The sequence below is a fragment of the Homo sapiens genome, chromosome 20 (assembly GCF_000001405.40).
Source record: "Homo sapiens chromosome 20, GRCh38.p14 Primary Assembly".
NCBI lineage: Eukaryota > Metazoa > Chordata > Mammalia > Primates > Hominidae > Homo > Homo sapiens.
This window is the reverse complement of record NC_000020.11, coordinates 36,314,720-36,338,054: the sequence shown is the minus strand read 5'-3', so window position 1 is coordinate 36,338,054 and position 23,335 is coordinate 36,314,720. Positions and strand designations below refer to the sequence as shown.

The 23,335-nt window shown below is 51.1% G+C and overlaps 1 protein-coding gene across 5 annotated transcripts in view, besides 6 other annotated features; it reads right to left on the bottom strand.

Annotated features, from left to right (window-relative positions):
* Positions 1 to 23,335, bottom strand: part of DLGAP4 (DLG associated protein 4) — a 222,295-nt gene that overhangs the window by 190,579 nt on the left and 8,381 nt on the right. The gene's annotated exons all lie outside the window — the stretch shown is intronic.
* Positions 672 to 1,657: an enhancer, noted in NCBI's record as "H3K4me1 hESC enhancer chr20:34964801-34965786 (GRCh37/hg19 assembly coordinates)". NCBI's record gives its function as "activates a minimal SCP1, AML or CMV promoter by ChIP-STARR-seq in naive H9 embryonic stem cells {active_cell/tissue: H9 hESC(naive)}" and the evidence as "EXISTENCE:reporter gene assay evidence [ECO:0000049][PMID:30033119]".
* Positions 3,874 to 4,535: an enhancer, noted in NCBI's record as "H3K27ac-H3K4me1 hESC enhancer chr20:34961923-34962584 (GRCh37/hg19 assembly coordinates)". NCBI's record gives its function as "activates a minimal SCP1, AML or CMV promoter by ChIP-STARR-seq in primed H9 embryonic stem cells {active_cell/tissue: H9 hESC(primed)}" and the evidence as "EXISTENCE:reporter gene assay evidence [ECO:0000049][PMID:30033119]".
* Positions 4,536 to 5,195: an enhancer, noted in NCBI's record as "OCT4-NANOG-H3K27ac-H3K4me1 hESC enhancer chr20:34961263-34961922 (GRCh37/hg19 assembly coordinates)". NCBI's record gives its function as "activates a minimal SCP1, AML or CMV promoter by ChIP-STARR-seq in naive and primed H9 embryonic stem cells {active_cell/tissue: H9 hESC(naive and primed)}" and the evidence as "EXISTENCE:reporter gene assay evidence [ECO:0000049][PMID:30033119]".
* Positions 5,196 to 5,857: an enhancer, noted in NCBI's record as "OCT4-NANOG-H3K4me1 hESC enhancer chr20:34960601-34961262 (GRCh37/hg19 assembly coordinates)". NCBI's record gives its function as "activates a minimal SCP1, AML or CMV promoter by ChIP-STARR-seq in primed H9 embryonic stem cells {active_cell/tissue: H9 hESC(primed)}" and the evidence as "EXISTENCE:reporter gene assay evidence [ECO:0000049][PMID:30033119]".
* Positions 5,858 to 6,519: an enhancer, noted in NCBI's record as "H3K4me1 hESC enhancer chr20:34959939-34960600 (GRCh37/hg19 assembly coordinates)". NCBI's record gives its function as "activates a minimal SCP1, AML or CMV promoter by ChIP-STARR-seq in naive H9 embryonic stem cells {active_cell/tissue: H9 hESC(naive)}" and the evidence as "EXISTENCE:reporter gene assay evidence [ECO:0000049][PMID:30033119]".
* Positions 6,520 to 7,181: an enhancer, noted in NCBI's record as "H3K4me1 hESC enhancer chr20:34959277-34959938 (GRCh37/hg19 assembly coordinates)". NCBI's record gives its function as "activates a minimal SCP1, AML or CMV promoter by ChIP-STARR-seq in naive H9 embryonic stem cells {active_cell/tissue: H9 hESC(naive)}" and the evidence as "EXISTENCE:reporter gene assay evidence [ECO:0000049][PMID:30033119]".

Genomic DNA, 23,335 nt, shown 5'->3' with positions numbered 1-23,335 from the left:
TGCCCACACATGTGGACCACAGGACTGGGGCAGACCCAGGCCTTCCAGACTCCCCAATCCCACTCCTCCCTCCCCTCCCCTCTTGGGGCCTCGGCTTCCTCATCCTGGCACAGGCCAAGCCCCATTCCCTCTTGGCATAGTGGTGAGGCTAAAGGTAGGCAGGGATGGGGAGGCAAGGGCCTGTGGGTGCCCAGCAGGCTGACATCCATCAGGAGGGGTCACAGGCATACCACCAATCCCAGCACAGGTAGCAGGCAACAACCAGCCTAGGCCTTCTCCCACCAGAAGAGGCAGAAAGGGCACAATGCCATGGGCTGCAGAGGGACACAGAGGGGTGGGGAAGTCTGGGCTTGAAACATCCTGGGGGGGAAGCACCCGCTTCCCAGAGGAGGGGTTATTGTGACAACTGCATCCGCTGCAAATTTAACCCTCAGGATCCCAGAGTCAGGAGACCCCATGAGGAGCAGCCAGTGTCCCTGCCTCCTGTCTGTGCCTGAACCCACCCTCCAGAGCCCACAGCACAGGGCAGACCCAGCCCTCTCAGGCCCATCTCAGCTCAGCACTGAGTGGCTTAGGACTCCCTCTTTATCTGGACTCCCTTCCCGCCTTCCCCAGCTGCTTGGAATGCCCACTCATCCTTCACATCCCCAACCTGAAGCCTTCCCTGCACCTACCCAGCGGGCCTTGCCCCCTCCACCACCCCCACCACTTCCCTCCCATCCCCCTCCACAGCCTGCCGCTGGGCATAGCATGTCATTTCCATGAATTATTGAGCGAATGAGCAGTAACCCCTAAAACATCCTGTTGGTTCTGGCTTTGCCCTCAGGGCTGAAGTGAGCCTGACCTCCAGTATGTATGTAGATCACGCTGGGGCTGTATCTGGGCCTTGTCCCTTGGGCAAGTCACTTAACCTCTCTGAGACCCAGTTTCTGATGCGCAGAATGAGTTTGGTCATCCCCACCCACCATGGGGAAATGCGGCTGCAGCTGCTGCTGGGCCCCACCCACTCTCTCCCGACTCCCCCAGCTCCCTCCGCCTTCCTCCGCCGTATCTGCTTTTTATTTTAAGTCCAAAATGTATTTGCTGTAGGAGGAGGGAGAGGTGTGCGCACAGCAGAGAGGGGGCTGAGATGGGAGACTGGGTGCGGGCTGGGGGCCCCTCTGGGGTCTGCTGGGCTCCAGTGGCCCCAGGAAGGAGAAGGGGGCTGGCTGTCTCCACAGCAGGCGGGAGCAAAGCTGGACTGACGCCCACTCTGGTTGGATGCAAGGCCACAGTCAAGGGTGGGCACATCAAGGCAGCCAAGGAAACCAGAGGAGTGGGGAGCAGCTGATGGGGGCTGCCCTCTGGGCCCTCCAGTTTCCCAGTTTCCCTGCCCCTGGGACTGCTGGACCCCCATTGTCCCCTTAGTCCCACACACACCCACAGTTAGGAGAGTCACTCATCCACAAACACCTGCTGGTACTCATGCCAGCCATCATCCTAGGGAATGGAGATAAGATGTAAGCCAAACACACAGGGCTGCTGACTTGAAGTCCGGTGGGAAAGATGCAGATTAAACAAACAAATGTACAACATGTCAGGGTGTGATCACAGCCATAGGCATAACAGAGCAGGGAGAAGGGTGAGAGGAGGGCTCTTTGAGGAGGCGACATTTAACACAGGCGGGAAGCCCTGCAGGTGTCTGGGGGCAGAGTCTCAGGCAGAGGAAACAGCAAGCGCAAGGGTCCTAGGGAAGAACATGATTCTGATGGAGCTGCCAATATTGGTCAGGGGAGGAAATCAGGATGGGGCATCAACAGTTGTCTCCTAGGTGACCCTGGAGGCCAGAAACTTCAGCTCTGTGGCCTTTGTCTCGTCGTCAGCCAAATGGGCATGGAAAGATGTCGTAGGTGGTTACGAGGATGGAAATGGAGGAAGTTCGTGGTGGAGGTGCCCCGCAGCTCAGGGCAACACACTATAGGTGTTCCATGGGCATGGACTGGATTGGCAAACTCTCTAAAGGGAACTGTCCCTCTGGAGGCAGGGGAGGAGGGCCCTGGCCACAGGGTGGGAGCAGCGCTTAGAAACAGGAACCTGTCATCCTTCACTCGACAATATTCCTCTCTGATCTGATCTGCCAGGTCCTGCAGGCCCCTGAGTTTGCAACCCCTGGGAGTCAACAAGTCATTACAGGCAGGGAGACCAGGCCCCTAAGAGGGGATGCTTGGGCAGCTCTGGGAAACCAGGTCCCAAAGGAGGAGCTGGAGAAGGCTTCCCAGAGGGGGCAGCTCCACACCTGGGTCAAAAAGGATGTCCAGGTGGGCAAAAGATGAAGGGAGGCACGACGGATGGGGAAACAGCATGTGCAAAGGCAAAGACGGGTCAAACCTCCTGCACGTTCGGGAACAAGAGGGAGGAAGAAGGGGAGGAGAAGGCAGCAACATCTGCTATAAGAGCAGCTGATGTGTCCGGAGCAGCTGTGTCCGGAGCATCTACCACGTGCTAGGCTCAGACACACAGCCTCGCTTGATCCCCACAGTCTCGACAGTCACAATAACATGACCCCCATTTATTGAGTGTTCAGCCTGGGCCAGGGGTTGGATCATCTCTTTATTCCTCTTAACAGCCCTATGGAGGCAGGAACTCAGCACTCCCATTTTATAGATGAGCAAACAGAGGCTGCGGCCATTTAAGCATCTTGCTCAAGGTCCTGCAGCCAGTAAGCAGCAAAGATGAGACTGAAACCCAGGTGTGTCCCACCAGCTCCCTACCAACAGGTCCATTTACAAATCAATGTCATGCCATCTGTGCTGGGAAAATCTTCTGGTTGTATCACAGGCAGAGAACTGAGGCCTGGCGGTGGCTGTACCATGGTCTCAACGGCAGGGTCCCCTAGTCTCCCCATGGAAGGCTTCACAGCCCCCATCTCAAAAGCCTCCAGCTCTGTAAGAGGTGGGGTGAACGCTTGGCAAGGCTTCTTCCCACCCACCCCAGGGGCTCAGGTGCCAGCTCCAACCTGCAGCTTTAATTAAAAGGCCTTTTCAAACCATTAACAGCAATAATAATAAAATCCCAAATAGGAACAATAAAGCAGTATGACTGTCGGAGAATTAAAATGGGCACCTGGCGTTCTGCCACCCCCGGGGGGCAATCGGGCTCAGGCGGGAGGCATGATTTTCACCTCCAATAGACACGTCGGTCCCAGATACAGGCTGAGAGGCAGGACTGGGGGAAAGGGACCACCCTGTGCCGGCGACCCAGCTGCCCCTAGGCCACTGTGGAGATCCTCACAAAGAAAGCCTTAGCTGCCGTGTCTCCAGCAGCCCCAACTCCCAATCTCAGTAACCAGCATTCCTCACCTCCAGGGCTCAGCCAGACTGCCTTCCTTGCCCTTCACCTAGCCCAGTACAAAATCCAGCAGGCTCTGCCTCTAAAATTGGGTTGGCCCCTCGCCTTGACCTCCCCAGCCCCTGTCCCGATTCAGGCCACCTTCATCTCCCCTGAAAACAGCACCAGCCTCCTACGTGGGGTCTCCATGGCCACCTGGGCCCCTGCAAATTGCACTCCCTGCTGCACACACAGGGGGCTTTTCGAACCACAAGCCAAGCCCTGTCTCCGCTGCTATGCCCCTCAGACCTCAATGGTTCTCCTTTCCCCGGCCCTCAGGTCACACTCCTTCTCATCTGTTCCCTGAGTGAGCTTAGATTCTCTCACCTCGTGGCCTTTGCAGGATGCTGGTCAGACACCTCCCTGACCAGCTCGCCATCAGCCAGCAGAGCTCAGCCTCAGTAATACCCCCTGAAAAGTCTCTGATAACTCTCCCAGCCCCCAGAGGCCCTGCAGACCAACCCCCTAATTGTTGTTTTCCACACTGTAGCATTTTTGTCAATTTCTGGTCTGCCCACCCTCCACCTCTCATGTGAGAGCCCTGGGAGGCCAGGGGCTGGGTCTGGCTTGTTCACCGCTGTGCTTCTGGTGCCCAGCCCTGTGCCTGGCACACAGAGCTCAATCTGTGTTTGCTGAATGACGCAGCACACACGACATCCTTGCTGTCCACAGAGTCGCCACTCCCCAGATACCTGGTCACCCCTGTGGGTTGTGGGTCGCTGGGTGGGGACAGTGGCTTTCCAGCCTGCCTGGGTTTCTTGCTCCTAGTGCCTCTAAAGGCAGGTCCCATGAGTTTCCCAAGTTCTGCCTTAGCTCCATAATGGCAGGGAGTGGGGAAAATTATCTATGTTTTCACCCATTTGGGAAACACCTGTCAGTGCATCCTCAGTAACAGCCCGAAGCTGGGTACCCAAGATCCACACCCATGTGGACCCACCCTTGAAGGGCTTCGAGGCCAGCAGGGGCAGACCCAGCCAGGAAGACCTGGCCTACAGAATGCCGTGTGATGTGCAGGGCAGAAGGGCAGAGTGGTTCGCGGGGAGTCACACAGCAACCCACACATTTGAATCCTCACCCATGCTATGCAGCCTTGGGCAAGCCTCAGTTTCCTCACAGGACTGCTACAAGGAATCAAAGCCATCCACTGGATAAAGGAGGAAGCATAGCACAGCCATGACCACCCAGGGAGTCAGGGGAGGCTTCTGAGAGGAGGCGACATTGGAATCAAGCCTTGAAACATGCACGGGAATCCACCAGGCACACAGAGGCGCATCAGGCAGAGGGGAAGCGTGGGCAAAGGTAGAGTGGCTGGAACGGAGTGAGGTGCTCAGGGAGCTCAGGGGTTTTAGAAAAAAAAACCCTCTATTAACTTCTTAGTATGAAAAATGTCAAGCACACACCAATAGAAGGAGAAGAGCTGCATTTTCATGGTGCATTTGCAGCAGGATGAGTATGCTGCCCTGATGCCCTCTGAACCCTGTCCCCATCCTCTGTGACCCTCAAAGTGGGACCAGATGGCCTCGGAATCCACTGCAAGGCCAAGGTCTCTGAAGCCCCCACAACTTCTCAAACCAACCAGGCAGAACAAATGTTCAGTCGTTAAGAGCCGGAGGTAGCATCTCCCTTTTACTAGCTAGTAAAAAAAGAGAGAGAAAGAAGAAAAAATAAGTCTTTTTCCAGCCAGACTACATCCTGCATCTGAGAGGGTGAGAATTTGCTCTTGGAAGGAAAGAAAGAGCCTCCTGTCTGGAGCTTCCTCTTTGAAGCTCCATGAATATACATGGTGGCAGGCGAGAGTGTTCTTTGAGATGCTAACAAGCTGCCTTACCTTGGAAAATTGAGGTCATGGCTCAGAAGGGGCCTTGACTGGTGGGGGGCTGGGATGGGAGGGGAGGTGCTAGAGAGAATAGAGACCCAGGCAGGCCCAGCTCTGATCCTGGGCAACTCCTTTCCCCTCTGAGTCTCCACTTCCTCACCTGTGAAATGGGGGCACCTCCTCCTGGGGCTGCCGGGACAGATGATGCACAGTGAGGCACCCAAGATGGCACAGGCGGGCGGATCACTTGAGGTTAGGAGTTTGAGACCAGCCTGACCAACATGGCAAAACCCTGTCTCTACTAAAAATACAAAAATTAGCTGGGTGCAGTGGCGGGCGCCTGTAGTCCCAGCTACTAGGGAGGCTGAGGGAGAAGACCTGCTTGAACCCCAGAGGCAGAGGTTGCAGTGAACAGAGATCGTGCCACTGCACTCCAACCTGAGCAACAGAGTGAGACCCTGTCTCAAACAAAGAAACAAAAAAACAAAACAAAACAAAAAAAACAAAAAACGGAACGGGCGGGACAGGGAAAGTCTGCAGGTGTCAAAAGGAGAGGAAAGGAGGGGGGCCGTGGAGATCGGGCCATTTCTTGGTGAAGAGGATGAGGCTCAAAGGCTGGGAAGGACTCATTGGAAGGCTCTGAATCCCTTGCCCAGCCCAGCCTCCTGCCCCTACCCAGACCTCATCCTCTCCATCCCGTCCAGATGACTGGCCCAGCCTTCTCCTGGGCATCCCTTCTCCAGAGGAAGTCTCATGCCCATGAATCTGATCACATCACCTCCCAGCTCCAAGCTTTCCAAGGTCTCTGGCTTGACTCAGGGAAAACCCATGTCCTTCCTATGGCTAGACGCACCCCCTGTCCTTATTTCTCTGACTTCATCTCCCCCTACCCGCCCCCGACTCTTTTCCAGCCGCATCTGAACATGTCCGCCAGCACAACCTCCCCAGTTTGTTCCCTGCCTGGAACCCCCACCCGATCCCAGATCCTCAAAAGACTGGCTCCTTTGTAAGTGTTCAGGTCTCAGCTCAAATGTCACCTCCCCAGAGAGGCCCTCCCTGACCACCCCAGCAGACACCTGTCACCCTGCTGCTCTCCATCACAGCATTTATACTAGCAGCAATTATTTTACTTTTGTTGAGAGCTCTGTGAGGGCAGGGACCACATCTGTCTCCAGGGCACACAGTAGGTGCTCCATAAACATCTGTTAAACACCTGTGAGTGGGTAAGTGAAAAGAGGCCAAAGCTTCCATCTCTGCATCCATCTTTAGTGATGAGGGAGATTCTGCTGCCAGGGAACTCCCTTCTCTGGCCCCTCTCCCCAGAGACAGAGTGAGTCCAGGCTGAGGCTGGGTCGGCAGGGGGCCAGCAGCCCGGGTGACCCCTGCCTGGCTCCTAATGCTGCCCAGACTGCAGGTCTAATTGCTACAACTCCACAGCAAAGGGAGGTAATGAGGTGGATTAATGTTCCCATGTTGGTCCTGCTCCCTCCAAGGCCATCGGTGAGCTGGAGGAGGGGCAGCTGGGGATGCCGGAGATGGGCCTCCCGGTGGCTGGGCACCTGACCCCAAGTTGGCCCTCCCACCTGGCCTCTCACACTCTTCCCCTCGTTTTCTGACAGCATGGGTCCTCCCTGAAGGGCTGGGAGCAGACGCTCAATAGGCATCTTTGGAGTGTGGGCACTGGACAGGAGGACCCATTTATTTCTCACCACGTGGAAGTAGCCATCCCCACAGGTGAGAGAGGAAGCCAAGGCCCAGGGAAATGGGGTGGCCTCCCCCCACAGGCCCCCAGGGGGGATGAGCTGTCTCTCTCACATGGCCCACTTTGTGAGGGACAGCCCAGCCCTCTCTCCTCACCACTTGAATTGGAAGCAAGGGAATGGTGGATGATGATACTCATAATAGTAATAATAATAATAACAACAACAACAGTGACAATAGCTAACATTTACGGTCCACAAGGCACTGTGATAAAAACTCAAAATAAAAACTCAAAAGTCGGCCGGGCGTGGCGGCTCACGCCTGTAATCCCAGCACTTTGGGAGGCTGAGGTGGGCAGAATCACAAGGTCAAGAGATCGAGACCATCTTGACTAACACGGTGAAACCTCGTCTCTGCTAAAAATACAAAAAAGTAGCCGGGTGTGGTGGCGGGCGCCTATAGTCCCAGCTACTCGGGAGGCTGAGGCAGGAGAATTGCTTGAATCCGGGAGGCATAGGTTGCAGTGAGCCGAGATCACACCACTGCACTCCAGCCTGGGTGACAGAGGGGAAAGGAGTTGACTTTCCTCCATCTCAAAAAAAAAAAAAAAAAATCCCAAAAGTCACTGAAGCCTCAGCTACCCTATGAAGTAGGTCCCATAGAGGCACATTTTACAGATGAGGAAACTAAGGCACAGAGAACTGAAGGCACTGAGCTGAGGTCCCACGGAGAGTAAATAGGTCCACCTCTAGAAGCCATATAGTCCACCACCTCCCTCCATAATCTCCACTCAGAGTCCAACCTTGGCTCTAGCCTGGGGCATAGAGGGGCAGTAACCTAGCCCTTCTCCAGTCCTGCCGCCCCCACCACGATAGTTGGAGCCCCCACCAATATGGTCAGAACCTCCCCCACAAAACCCTCCTCTGGCCTGGCCCATCAGGCTCCTCACTCCTTCAAAGGCAGGCTCTGGAAGAACGAGACACACTGTGTTTTAATTGTCATTTTTTTCTTGTTACAAAAGCAATATATGTTCACTGTAGAAAACTGGAAGAAAACAGAACGGCATTAGGAAAATAAAATTATTCTCCCAGAGATGACTGCTTCTGATATTATGGTGTGTGTCTTTCAGTCTTTTTTTTTTTTTTTTGAGACAAGAGTCTTGCTCTGTCACCCAGGCTGGAGTGTGAGATCTTTGCTCACTGCAACCTCCACCTCCCCGGTTAAGTGATTCCTCTGCTTTGGCCTCCCAGGTAGCTGAGATTACAGGCATCTGCCACCATGCCTGGCTAATTTTTGTATTTTCAGTAGAGATGGGGTTTCACCATGTTGGCCAGGCTGGTCTTGAACTCCTAACCTTGTGATCCGCCTGACTTGGCCTACCAAAGTGCTGGGATTACAGGCGTGAGCCATCGCACCTGGCCTAATTTTTGTATTTTTAGTAGAGATGGGGTTTCACCATGTTGGCCAGGCTGGTCTCGAACTCCTGACCTCAAGTGATCCCCACACCTCGGCCTCCCAAAGTGCTGGGATTACAGGCATGAGCCACTGTGTCCGGCTCAGCCTTTTTATTTCCTATACATAATCAGGGATAGAGAGGAAGTGTCAGGACCAAAAGCTTGGTGGAGGCCACTTCTGACTCAGTTTTTTCCATCCACGTCATCAAGACATCCCCCAGGGGCACAAGGTTTGCGCTGTGTCTGGCCCTAAGCTGAATATCTTGCACACATTACTTCAGTTAACCTCACTACAACCAGATGATATAAGTATTAAAATCCCAATTTTACAGATAAGCAAATGAAACTTCAGAAAGGTAGAGTAACTAGTCCCAGGTCACATAACTGGTGACCTGTGGTACATCCAGGTTCAAACTCATGACTGTTTGGCTCCAACAATCTGAACTGTTTTCTTAAAATTTCCTGGAGCTGAAATTGCCAGGCCAAACATAGATAAAATTCCAACCTTGGCCAGGTATGGTGACTCACGCATGTAATCCCAGGAATTTGGGAGACTGAGGTGGGTGGGTCACCTGAGGTCAGGCGTTCAAGACCGGCCTGCCCAACATGGTGAAGCCCCGTCTCTGCTAAAAATACAAAAATTAGGCCGGGCGCGATGGCTCACACCTGTAATCCCAGCACTTTGGGAGACCAAGTCAGGCAGATCACAAGGTCAGGAGTTCAAGACCAGCCTGGCCAATATGGTGACACCCCATCTCTACTAAAAATATATAAATTAGCTGGGTATGGTGGCGCATGCCTGTAGTCGCAGCTACTCAGGAGGCTGAGGCAGAAGAATTGCTTGAACCCAGGAGGTGGAGGTTGCAGTGAGCCAAGATCGCGCCACTGTATTCCATCTGGATAATAGAGAGAGACTCCGTCTTAAGAAAAAAAAAAAAAATTAGCTGGGTGTGCTGGCTCATGCCTGAGGCTGAGGCAGGAGAATCACTTGAACCCAGGAGGTGGAGGTTGCAGTGAGACGAAATCGCACCACTGCACTCCAGCCTGGGCGATAAGAGCAAAATTCCGTCTCAAAAAAACAAAAAAACAAACAATAAAACCCCCCAAACTTTGTGACAATCCTGTACCAACCTGCCCTACAAAAGCAGGGGATTCTGATTTATACCCCTCCTGATAGAGTCTGGGAAGATCAATTTCCCTGCATTCTTGTCTATGCTGGACTTTATTTAAAAAAAAAAAAAAACCTGCCAGTTTTGTATACAAATAAGATGAACCATTGCTGTTTATAATGGCATTTCTTTAATCTCATTGTGTATTTTTAGCTTCTAGGGTGACTCTGGGGCCCAACTTGTCAGGGTCTGATGTCCTCCCAGCTGGACGCCCTACTCAGCACAAAAGATGCCCAGGAGAAGCTGAGTGATCAAATTAAGGGGCACACCCAACCACCTGACACACTGGCCACTTTGCCAATGTGCACTTTAAATTTAGAATTTTTATTTTTTATTTTTTTTATTTTCTTGAGACAGAGTCTTGCTCTGTTGTCCGGGCTGGAATGCAGTGGTACCATCTCAGCTCACTGCAACCTCCACCTCCCAGGTTCAAGCAATTCTCCTGCCTCAGCCTCCTGAGTAGCTGGGATTACAGGCGTGTACCACCACACCCAGCTAATTTTTGTATTTTTAGTAGAGACGGAGTTTCACCACGTTGGCCAGGCTGGTCTCGAACCTCTGACCTCAAACAATCCACCTGCCTTGGCCTCCCAAAGTGCTGGGATTACAGGCGTGAGCCACTGTGCCTGGCAACCTTAGAATTTAACCAGATAATTCTTGCCGGGCGCGGTGGCTCACGCCTGTAATCCCAGCACTTTGGGAGGCCGAGGCGGGCGGATCACGAGGTCAGGAGATCGAGACCATCCCGGCTAAAACGGTGAAACCCCGTCTCTACTAAAAATACAAAAAATTAGCCGGGCGTAGTGGCGGGCGCCTGTAGTCCCAGCTACTTGGGAGGCTGAGGCAGGAGAATGGCGTGAACCCAGGAGGCGGAGCTTGCAGTGAGCCGAGATCCCGCCACTGCACTCCAGCCTGGGCGACAGAGCGAGACTCCGTCTCAAAAAAAAAAAAAAAAAAAGAATTTAACCAGATAATTCTTATCTGGAACAAAGGAATGTCCTGGAATGCAGGTATCCCTCGGCCTAGCAGATGGATAGAGAAACTGAGTCAAGAGTGGCCTTCACCAAGCTGTGGGCTCTGACACTTCCTCTCGTTTCCTGTGCTGCACTCTGCCAGGTGTAAAATTATAAATTATAAATCTTCACATTTCAGGAACTAAATGAACCCAAGGACAAAAAATATGAAGAAAACCTTATGGAGGTAAATCATAACCAAAGCATTCAAAACCAGTGGTAAAGAGTAAATCTTAGGTCAGGCATGGTGGCTCATGCCTGTAATCCCAGCACTTTGGGAGGCCGAGGTGGGTGAATCACTTGAGGTCAGGAGTTCAAGACCAGCCCGGCCAACATGGCAAAACCCCATCTCTACTAAAAATACAAACACTAGCCAGGTGTAATGGTGCACACTTGTAGTCCCAGCTACTCGGGAGGCTGAGGTAGGAGAATCACTTGAACCTGGGTAGCGGAGGCTGCAGTGAGCTGAGATCACACTACTGCACTCCAGCCTGGGTGACACAGTGAGACTGTCTCAAAAAAAAAAAAAAAAAAAAAAAGAGAAAATCTTAAAAGTAGCCAGAAAAGAAAGATATGTGTTACATACTGGTAACAAGGATACACATTACAGCATATTTCTTGTCAAAAACAATGCAAGTGAGAAGACAGTGGAACAACTTTAAAATACAGAAAAAAAAATCTGTTAACTTATAATTCCATGCCCAGCAAAAATAACTTAAAAAAATGAAGGCAAAATAAAGACTTTTTCAGACACATTAAAGCTGAAAGAATTCCTCACCAGCATACTCACACTATAAGGAATGTTAAAATCCTTCAGGCTGAAGGAAAATGATACCAGAGAGAAATATGAATCTATAAAAAGGAATGAAGAGCACTGAAAATAATAACTACATGGGTAAATATATAGGATTATTTTTCTTATTATTTAAATATCTCTAAAAGATAATGACCATCAAGACAAAAACAATAACAATGTAGTGTTGTGCTTATTACACATATAAAAGTCAAATACATAATAATAATACTACAAGATCGAAGAGATGGAAGTATGCTATTGTGATGTACTATACATGAACTGATATAATATCACTTGAAAGTACACTGCAATAAGTTTAAAGTGTAGATTGTAAGCCATACTGCAAGCACTAAAATAAAACAGTTATGGCTATAATTAACAAGAGATACAGTGGAATAACAAAAATGTGATTAATTCTAAAGGTAGCAGAAAAATAAGAAAAGAGAAACAAAGAATAGATAGGGCAAATAGAAAACAAATAGCAAGAGAAAAGATTTAAACCTGGGGTGAATCTGGGGCCCAACTTATTGGGTTTCCCCTGAGTACCGCTTTAACAGCATCCTGCAAATTTTGGTATGTTGACATATGCTGCCTACAAGAAATGCTCTTCAGATATAAAAACACGAACAGGTACAAAGTAAAAGGATGAAAAAATATAGACCATGTTAACACCAATTTTAAAATCTTGAGGGCTACATTAACATCAGAAAAAGTCTGTTTCAGGACAGGCACAGTGACTCATGCCTGTAATCCCAGCACTTTGGGAGGCCGAGCTGGGAGGATCACCTGAGGTCAGGAGTTCAAGACCAGTCTGGTCAACATAGTGAAACCCTGTCTCTACTAAAAATACAAAAATCAGCCAGGCATGGTGGTGCGTGCCTATAATCCCAGCTACTCAGGAGGCTGAGTCAAGAGAATCGCTTGAACCCGGGAGGTAGAGGTTTGCAGTGAGCCGAGATCGTGCCATTGTACTCCAGCCCAGGCAACAGAGCGAGACTCAGTCTCAAAAAAAAAAAAAAAGTATATTTTGTAATATTATAAAATCACTTCATAATGATAAACAGGTCAATGCAACAACAGGAATGATGATCCTAAATATGTATGTATTGAATAACAAAGCTTTAAAATACATAAAGCAAAAAGTGATAGGAATGTAAGGAGAAATAGGCAAATCTCCAATTATAGTCAGAGATGTCTATAGCTCTCTCTCAATAATTGGTAGAGCAAGTGAACAGAAAATAAATAAGGATACAGAAGATTTGAAAATTATCAACCAACTTGACCCGACATTTATAGAACACTCCATCCCCTAACAACAGAATACATACTCTTTTCATGGAACATTTACCAAGATGGACCAGATTCTGGGCCATTAAACAAGTCTCAATACATTTTAGAAGATTAAAGTTATGCAAAATATGTTATATAATCTCAGTGGAATTAAACTAAAAACAATTAACAGAAAGATCCCTGAAAAATCCTCAAATATTTGGAAATTAGATAACACATTTCTAAAAAACCCATGGGTCAAAGAGGGAAGCAAAAGGGAAACTAGAAAGTACTATGAACTGAATAAAAATGAAAATATAATATATCAAAATGTGTGGGGTGCTGCTAAAGCAGTACTTAGAGGAAACTTTATAGCACTAAATGCCTATATTCATGAAGACAAAAGCTTTAAGATTAATGACCTCTGCTTTTACCTTAAAAAAAACAAAACTAGAAAAAGAAAAACAAATTAACCCTGAACTAAGTGGGAGAAAGAAAATAGCATCAGAACAGCAAATCAATAAAAGAGAAAACAAACAATAAGAAAAAATCAGTGACACCAAAAGCTGTCCTTCAAAAAGATCAATACCATTGAAAAATATGTACCCAGTCTGATCAAAAATTAAAAATGAGAAAGAAAGATCAGACACATATTACAAATATCAGGAATGAAACAGGTCACATCACTACAGAGTCTACAGATATTAAAAGATAATAAGTTTCGAAACTTATTACAAAGCTACAATAATCAAGTCAATGTGGAACTGTCATAAGGATAGATCAATGGAACAGAACTGAGGATCTACAAACAACTACAACAACAAATCTCACATTTATGGTTAATTGATTTTCGAAAGGGGTGCCAAGACCATTCAATGGAGAAAGAACAGTCCTTTCAACAAATGGTGCCAGCACAACTTATTGTTCACATGCAAAATAATTAAATTTGACCCCTACCTCACACCAGGCACAAAAAAATAACTCAAAATGGATCAAAGACCTAAATGTAAGAGCTAGAACTATAGAGCTCTTTTTGTTTTTCTTTTGACAGAGTCTCACTCTGTTCCCCAGGCTGGAGTACAGTGGTGCAATCTCGGCTCACTGAAACCTCTGCCTCCCGGGTTCAAGTGATTCTCCTGCCTCTGCCTCCCTAGTAGCTGGGACTACAGGTGCCCGCCACCACACCCAGCTAATTTTTGTATTTTTAGTAGAGGTGAGGTTTTACCATGTTGGCCAGGCTGGTTTCAAACTCCTGACCTCAAATGATCCTCCCATCTCAGCCTCCCAAAGTACTGGGATCACAGGTATGAGCCACCGTGCCCAGCTGAACTATAAAGCTCTTAGAAGAAAACACAGGCATAAATATTCATGCCCTTGAATTAGGCAACTGTTTCTTAGATATGACACCAAAAGAAAATACACCCAAAGAAAAAAAATAGATGAATTGGACTTCATCAAAGTTTAAAACTTTTGTGCTATAAAGCATGGGTCCCCAATTCCTGGGCCATGGACCTGTACCAGTCTGTGGCCTGTTAGGAACTGGGCTGCAGAGCAGGAGGTGAGCAGCAGGCAAGCCAGCTTTACCGCCTGAGCTCCTCCTCCTGTCAGATCAGCGGTGGCATTAGATTCTCACAGGAGTACGAATCCTACTGTGAACTACGCATGCGGGGGATCTAGGTTACATGCCCCTTATGGGAATCTAACTAATGCCTGATGATCTGAGGTGAAACAGTTTCATCCCAAAACTTGTCTTCCATGAAACCAGTCCCTGGTGCCAAAAAGGTTGGGGATCCCTGCTGTAAGGCACTATCAAAAAAGTGAAGAGACAACCCACAGAATAAATAAACTCCACTCGGTATATAACCAACAGAAATAACCGCAAAAGTTTCCCAAAAGACTTCTATGAGAAAGCTCAAAGCAGCACTATCCATATAGTCAAAAACTAGAAATATTCCAAAAGTCTATCAACAATAGAATGGATAACGTATGACATATTCGCTAAGTGGAATACTAGGCAGCAATATAAAAGAAAACTTACCAATACACACAACAGCCATGATGAATCTCATTGACAAAGTGAGGAGCAAAAGAAGTTAGCACAAAAGAGACAATCTGCATGATGTTGTTTATGTGAAGGTGTGAAAAAGACAAAACAAAGCTATGGCTTTAGGAGTCAGAATATTGGTTGCCCCTGGGGAAGGGAGGTGGGGAATTAATTGGAAAAGGCAAGACAGAGCCTTTTGGTATAGCTGGAGATATCCTATATCTTTTTTTTTTTTTTTTTTTTTTTTTTTTGAGATAGGGTCTCTGTGTCACTCCAGGCTGAGTGCAGTGGTGAGAACATGGCTCACTGCAGCCTCAACCTCCCAGGCTCAAGCGATCCTCCCACCTCAGCCTCCTCCTGAGTAGCTGGGACCACAGGCACACACCACCATGCCCAGCTAGTGTTTGTATCTTTTGTAGAGATGGGGTTTCACCATGTTGCCCAGGCTGGTCTCGAACTCCTGGGCTCAAGCAATCCACCCTCCTCAACCTCCCAAAGTGTTGGGATTACAGGCGTGAGCCACTGCACCTGGCCTGGAAATATCCTGCATCTTGACCTTAGTGGTAGTTACAAGGGTGAGATATACACATATATCAAGCTATACTATCTGCTTAAGATTAGTACACTCTACAACACGTGCTATACTACAACTCAGAAATTTCAAATAGAATAATACTCGGTAGTCACTGACTCAGGAGGATGGCCAGCATCAAGGGAAGAAGTAGCTGCAGATGAGCAGGACTAATGTGACCCTATTGCAAAGTCATCTGCACAGATGCCCTCCATCTACAGATGACTGTGACATTATATGAGCTACCATTTATAAGCACTTGCTGTGTGCCACGTGCTGTCCTACGCACTTTATTACCTCACTTCATCCTCACAACAGTCTTATGAGGCAGGGACCATCACTGCCCCTACTTTACAGATGAGGGGACTGAGGCACAGAGAAGTTAGGTAACTTGCTGAAGTCAAGCCCCTAATAAGCAGCAGAGCTGGATTTGCATCTAGACCTTCTGGCGCCACAACCCACGCTCTTATGTAAATCCCCAAACCCTGACCACAGTGCAGAAGGCCCCATACCGTCTGGCCCCCGCCATCCTCTAGTGCTTCACCTGTCCTCCCTCCACATCCCAACACTCCAGCCTCACCATCTTCCTTCCTCTTCCCTGAAAACCCCACCTTCCTCACACCCCGGGGTTTGCACATTTGCAGTTCCCTCTGCTGGAATGTTTTCTTCTGCTCCTCTTTGCTGGGGCAACTTCTCCTCATCCCTTAGGTCTCAGTTCAAGTGTCACCTCCTCCAGGAAGCCTTTGTGACTCCAGTCAGGGCCCATGTTCCTGTGACCCTCCTCCGTGGGCCTCATCACTGTTTTACCTGCTTTTTGAGTTCCCTAAGGGCCAGGAGAGTCCCTTTCACTCAGAGCCATGTCCCCTCTGCCCACCACAGGGTCTGGCATCAAGTGGGCACTCAACAAATATTTGTTGAATGAATGAATGAATCTATCTGCCACAGCAGACAGACTTGGAGAAACCTCTGGAAGGTCGGCATCAAAATGTGGTCACCACTGCAGGTAGATCGAGGGGGATCTGTATATTTGTCTCTATACTTTGGGTTTTATCTGCTGCATATTGTTCTGGTGGGCAGGTACCATTTCCAAGCCCTCAGCATTTCCCACCCTGGGACCCCCACCTTTCCCCCTCCTCGCTCCCTCCCCATGCTCGTTCTCCCAACTCTGCCTACAGCCCCAGTGGGTGGCATATTAATAAGTAGGAGTGAGAAGGTCACCCAGCTCACAAGCACTGAGCCCTCCTAGACTCGGGCGCAGATGAAACGCGCTGAGGCGGGCGAGCGCCTCACCAGGCGCTGAGCACGTGTGAGCTATTTCTGATTCCCACCAGGCTGGGCAGAGCACATCCGAGGTGGAAGCCGGGGCCAGCCTGGCGAGTGGCTGTGGAACCAATGACCAGCTGCCCCAGCTATGCTCACATCAGACCTGGCCACTGCCTTGCTGGAAACTCCCCCGCAGCCCTCCAGGGCCCATGGGGCAGCCGAGGCCCTCAGCCTGGCACTTGAGGCTCTGAAAGACCCCATCCCTGCCCGTCTTCTTGCTCCCTATTCTCCCATGTGCAGCCAGGTCTTCCCTCAACCCCAGCCCTTTGCACGTGCTGTTCCCTCTGCCAGGAATGCCTGTTTCGTCTCCAGGTGTGGGCTCACTCTCACTTAACCAACGGGTGTCAGCTTGGACCACTCCCTCCTCCGAGAAGCCTTCCCTGACCATCACCCCAGCATGGGTGCCCTTGCCCTAGGGCTTCCTGCTGCCATGCGGGTACCTGCTGTTGTCTTTGTGGTCTATGATCCCGCTCCTAGACTGTGATGTGGCTCCTTTGAGGGCCTTCATCTCCAGGTCCTACATCCAGCAAGGACCTGGCCCGCAGCAGGCTCAAATCCTCGTTTGCTGACTGACTACACAGGGGACAAAGTGCTGAGTCCTGGAAGGGGTACAGGAGGGTTCGGGGATTCAGAGGAAGCTGGGGGCAGACAGGGAGCCAAGGACTGATTTGGCTGTGACTTGGAGGTAAAGAGTTAGAGAGATGTGGCCTTAGGCGGCAGAGAGGGTGCAGAGGGAGACCCGTCCAAAGTCGGTAGAGGGCCAGGCCTCTGTCTCATCAGTGTCCCCCTCACCCAGTCAGCAGCCCCCAGAGGTCCCAGGCAGGTGGGCAAAGGGCTCAGGGGGGCCCAGACTCCAGGTACCAGGTGTGGCTGCTCACAGGCCCTGCCTCCCCCAGCCCTGACAAGTACAGTGGATGCAGAATCTGTCTGGAACACAGCATTTCGTCTAAATATATCTGCTTTCCAATGCAGGGCATGCAGCAAGGGAGTGGGGGGCATGACGCAGGCCTGCAGCGTGGGGAGAACCAGAGCCCCCACTCACAGCCCCACAGCCCCACTGCCACCTGCCCTGGCAGAGGGAGTCCACCAGGGCAAGGGTCAGTGTGGGCCTGGCTGGGCCCCTCCAAGCATGGTTCCCATTGCCTGAGCTCCCACCCCAAAGCTGCCACCTTGAATGTCGGCCAGGCACAAACCAGGACAGCAGAGGAGGGAGGGGACACGGGGTGGGGCTGGGGAAGGGGGACACAGAGGAGGGCTTAGAGGAGGGGATAAAGGGAGGCCTGGGAGAGGGAGACACAGAGGGGGGCCTGGAGGAGGGGGACACAGAGGGAGGCCCGGGGGAGAGGGGCACAGAGGGGGGCCTGGGAGAGAAAGACACAGAGGGGGGCCTGGGAGAGGAAGACACAGAGGGGGGCCTAGGGGAATGCGACACAGAGGGAGGCCTGGAGGAGGCGGACACAGAGGGAGGCCTGGAGGAGAGGGACACAGAGGGAGGCCTGGGAGAGGGGGACACAGAGGGAGGCCTGGAGGAGAGGGACACAGAGGGAGGCCCGGGGGAGTGGGACGCAGAGGGAGGCCCGGGGGAGGGGGCCTTGAATCCAAGTTCTTCAGATTCCAGACTCTCCCCGCTACCTTGCTGTGACAGAGGCACAGAGAAGGAGGCAACTCCAACAGGGTCACACAGAGGCCTGGGGTGGTGAGGGGAGGAGGGCCCAAGCACCTGCCTCCCAGGCCTCCTAGGTGCCCTGGGGGCCCCTAGAATTCTCTTTAGCTCCTTGAAGTTCTCCCAAGAATCCCTAAGGAGTTGGGCAGCAAGAAAGGCACTGGACTGTGAGTCACGAGGCTGTGATCCAGTCCCCGCTCCACCCCTGAGGTCTTTGGACCAGTCATCTGTGGCCCCGGTTTCCCACCTCTGTGAGATGGGGACAAGCACTGTGCCCTCTGTGCAGGGCTCTGCCCATAGTGCTCACCCTTGGCCCACTTTCCCAGGCTGGCCCTTCTGTGAGCTGCCCTGGGCTAGGCTAGGGAGGGAGTGCCAGAAGGTTCCGGGGGGTGTGCGGGTGTCAGGAGAGAGCACAGTAACACCAGCTGCCTTATTTTGGGGACTTGCTGTATGCCAGGCTCTGTCCTCAGTCCTTGAACACACAGGACCTCAATTCACCCTCAAACCAAGCCTCTGAGACAGGCAATGACACTGTTATCTCTCTGAGGACAGCGGGGGAAACTGAGGCTGAGAGAGGTTTCTGTGACCTGCTCAAAATCACATAGCCAGTGAGCAGAGTGGGGACTCAAACTTGGGCCACCCCTCAAAATCAGCAGCTCCCTCCCTCCGGGCCTGAGACAGATGCCCACCTTTCCAATCAGTTTTTCTTTTTTTTTTTTTCTTTTTTTGAGATGGAGTCTCGCTCTGTTGCCAGGCTGGAGTGCAGTGGCACAATCTCAACTTGCTGCAACCTCCACCTCCCAGGTTCAAGCGATTCTCCTGCCTCAGCCTCCTGAGTAGCCAGGACTACAGGCGTGCACCACCATGCCAGCTAATTTTTGTATTTTTAGTAGAGACAGGGTTTCACCTCGTTGGTCAGGATGGTCTCCATCTCTTGACCTCATGATCCTCCCGCCTTGGCCTCCCAAAGTGCTAAGATTACAGGCGTGAGCCACCGCGCCTGCCTTCAGTTTTGCTCTTGTAATGAAAAACAAAATCAGAAAAAACCTGCTCATTAGAACAGCTAGTCATCAACAATCACTGCTATGAACACCTCATTTCCAGACAGGCATGAAGACCCCACCCAGCCAGAGCCTCCCTGCCCTCGTCTGTCTCACCCAAGGCAGGAGGGTGCAGTGGTTAAGATCCTGGGCCAGGGCTGGGTGCAGTGGTCCACACCTGTAATCCCAGCACTTTGAGAGGTTGAGGTGGGAGGATCACTTGAAGCCAGGAGTTCAAGACCAGCCTGGGCAGCAAAGCGAGATCCTATCTTTACAAAAAATTTAAAAAATTAGCCAGGTCCAGTGGTGCACCCCTGTAGTCCCAGCTACTCGGGAGGCTGAGTGGGGAGGAACACTTGTGCCCAGGAGTGGGAGGCTGCAGTGAGCCATGACTGCACCACTGCATTTCAGCCTGGGAGACAGGGAGACAATCCTGGGTCCACCAGCTGCCGGATGGGTGACCTCAGGAGTGTCACTCTTCCTCTCTATGCCTTGCCTCCGCTCCTGTGAGGACAGTGGCCCCTTCTGCTTAGAGCCCCAGGGCATGTTGGAGAGACAGCTGGTGTCAGGCTGTGACCCAGGACCTACCCAGAAACAGCCCTTATCACTCTGCCTAACCTGATCATCATGAGGGTAAACTGGATGCCCTCAAAGTCACTCCTGGAGTAGACTGTGTGTGTGTGTGTGTGTGTGTGTGTGTGTGTGTGTGTGTGTGTGTGTGTGAGAGGACACATTTATTACTGCTTTAAGCTGCTAAATGTTGGGGTAATTTGTTCCACAGTAATAAGTAGTGAGTATAGAAGATGAGCCTTGATTCAGGGTAGAATAGAGGCTGGAGAGAACCAGGGCCGGCTTCAGAGGCTGTGCTGGGCCATGCTCCCAGGCTGGGCACACCCAGGGCTCTTTTCTTTAGTGGCCCTGATCTGTCCAGAAGACCATCCCTGCCAACCTCAGCCAGCCCTGTGTGGCTGCTCTTTATGACTGTGCTGGACTCAAGAATGGATCTGACTCAGCTATGTGCAGCACCCAGCTAGAGATGCTCACCTGTCAGTTTTCAGAAAATTCTCACAAGAGTGCTGGGCTCGGTGGCTCACGCCCACAAAACCAGCAACTGGGGAGGCTGGAGAGAAGGATTGCTTGAGGCCAAGAGTTCAAGACCAGCCTGGGCAACATAGCAAGACCCCATCTCTAAATTTTTTTTTTTTTTAATTAGCTGGGCATGGTGATGTGCAACTGTAATCCTGGCTACTCCAGAGGCTGAGGCAGGAAGATTGTTCGATCCCAGAAGTTCAAGGCTGCAGTGAGCTATGATCATGTCACTGTACTCCGGCCTGGGCAACAGAGCTCTGACAAAAAAAAAAAAAAAGAAAGAGAAGGAAAAGAAAGGAGAAAAGAAAGAAGAAAAGAAAAGAAAGAAGGAAGGAAGAAGAGAGAAAGAAAGAGACGAGAGGAAAGAAAGAATGAAAGAAAGAAAGAGAGAAGGAAAGAAAGAGAGAAAGAGGAAGGAAGGAAGGAAGGAAGGAAGAAAGAAAGATAAGAAAGAAAGAAAGATAAGAAAGAAAGAAAGAAAGAAAGAAAGAAAGAAAGAAAGAAAGAAAGAAAGAAAAAAGGAGAGGAAGGAAGGAAGGAGGGAAGGAAGGAAGGAAAAGAAAGGAAGGAAGGAGAGAAAGGAAGAAAATTTTCATAGTAGCTTCCTTGGAGGTTAACATTATTATCCCTAGTGCCTAGAATAGTCTCTGGCACATAACAGATATTCATATTAGTGTAGACTAGGCTACAGTAATAAATAGACTCTAAAATTTCAGAGGCTTAAAGAACAAGAAGTTTATTCCTATCCTGGAGAAAGATTTTCAAACAGCTGAGCTTCTCCCAGTTTGAAAAGCCAGTCCTGGTAGGTGTGCAAGCCAAACAGGCAGCCGGTCAACCAGCTCCCTGTTTGCCCAGCCTCAGTTACCCCCTTAGTGCCAGATCCAGGTGAGGAGGTGGCCCCCAGAGAAGAGGCTGGGGAGGAGAGGAGTGACGGGCTGCAATGGGACGGGCTGGCCTGGGCTGCTGTCCAAGGCACCCCTGGGTGACCCAGCTTCTCTGTGAGGGGGTGCTTGGGAGCACTGCTGAAGGGGACGGGCTGGTGAGCTGGGCTGCCTTTCCACCCCCACCTGTTCTCAGGCCCTTCCTGGACTACCAGGCTCAACAATGCTCAGGTAACACTCACAAGCTGTGCCCCTGCTGTGTGCCAGGCCCCAGCCTCTGCCCGGTGGGAGACCCTTACAGTCTAGTCCGCTGTGGGGGTAGGGTGACCCATGTGGTTGGGAAAGGCAGGGTTCCTGGAAAGGGGAGGTCTGAGCTGAGCCATAAGTAACAAATCAGAGTTACCAAGCAAAGACTGTGGGGAAGGATTTCCAGGGAAAGGGAACAGTAAACGCAAAGGCAGGAAAGCCAGAGGACATGGAAGGTTCTGGGCATGCCCAGTCATTCAGGTGAGCTGCGGGTGGGGTGTGATGGGGGCAAAGCAGGAGGGGGCTGTGGAAGGTGCACAGAGGCAGGTGACAGGGGCAGCAATGGCCTCATTCAGGGCTCTGGGCCATGAGCAGCTGGATGTGGTTACTTAACCTGCGTGGAGGACGCACCAGCAGGAAATCAGGTAGGAGGCGGGGATGGTCACCTTGGCCAGAGGCCATGAAGGCTGTTGCCAAAAGATGCTTGAGAAGGGGAGGTCAATGGGGAAGGAGCCCACCTTCCGCTTTGTGATTGATCCCCCAGACGCATCTCAAGGGCTCAGGATGAGAGGCTGCCTTCCCGCTGGCCTCCAGGACCAGCCTTGTCATTATCAAACCCAGTCTTGCAAATGGTTCCTGAAAGCCACAGGGCTGGTGGGCCACACCACCCCCTCCCAGGCTGCCCACTGCCTTTGTCTCTGCCCGGCCAGTGTCAGCAGAGTGAGGCCACAGACTGAGATGGCAGGGGTCAGTCAGCTCTGGCCTTAGCCTCAGCAGTGGGCAGGCAGCCAACACCCCATGCCAGTGCCGGGAAGGCTTGGGGAGTGGTCGGCCAGGAGAGCATTGTAGGTCTGCCCTGCTCTGGAACCTTCTGTGGCTGCCTAGTTTCTTTCAGTGGGATGCACCCACACAAGAGGAGGCTGAGAGGCTGGGAAGGGGAGGCCCAGCCCCACTCTTACTTGCTGCAGGGCCTCAGGAATGTTGCTCAAATGTCCTGAGTTGGACTCAGTGATGGCCACTGGCTTTGCTAGCTGCGGCCAGGGCAGACCATCCAGCAACCCCAGGGACCCAACCATGGCCACCCAAGTTTCCAGTCCTGCCTAGGCAGGCTGCTTCATGGCTCCAAGCCTCAGTTTCCTCCTGTCACCAGTCCACGTGGTCCCATGAAGCCCACGCAGCCAGCCTTGACTGTTCCTCATCCCAAGCTCCTGGCTGCTCTCTCCAGGCCCGTGACCCATGGCTCTCCGTGCTGTCCCCGCACCGCACCACACCCCTCCTCACTCTCAGGTCTCAGCTCCTGGACACCAAGACAGCTACGGTCTCCTCTTAGCTCTCCTGGGTCACAGTGCCTGTCACTCATGTGAGTTTATATTCATCTGGGAGGTGATGTAACACAACGCACACAAACACACACCACACAGCATACACACACATCACAGACACCACACACACATCACAGCACACACACCACACATCACACACACCACACCACATACCACACATCACACACCACACATCACACACACCATACATAACACACACATCACACCACACACGGGGGGGCGCAACACACCACACACACATCTCACACCACCACACACGCACCACACACACCATACATAACACACACACCACACACCATAGATAACACACCACAAACACACATCACACACAGCACACACACACCACATACGCATCACACCACACATCACACACCACACATCACACACCACACACACCACATACCCACATCACACACATCATAGCACACACACCAGACACCATACATAACATACACCACACACTACACATCCACACCACACACACATCACACCACACACCCACCCCACACACATCACACCACACACCCACTCCATACACATAATACCACACA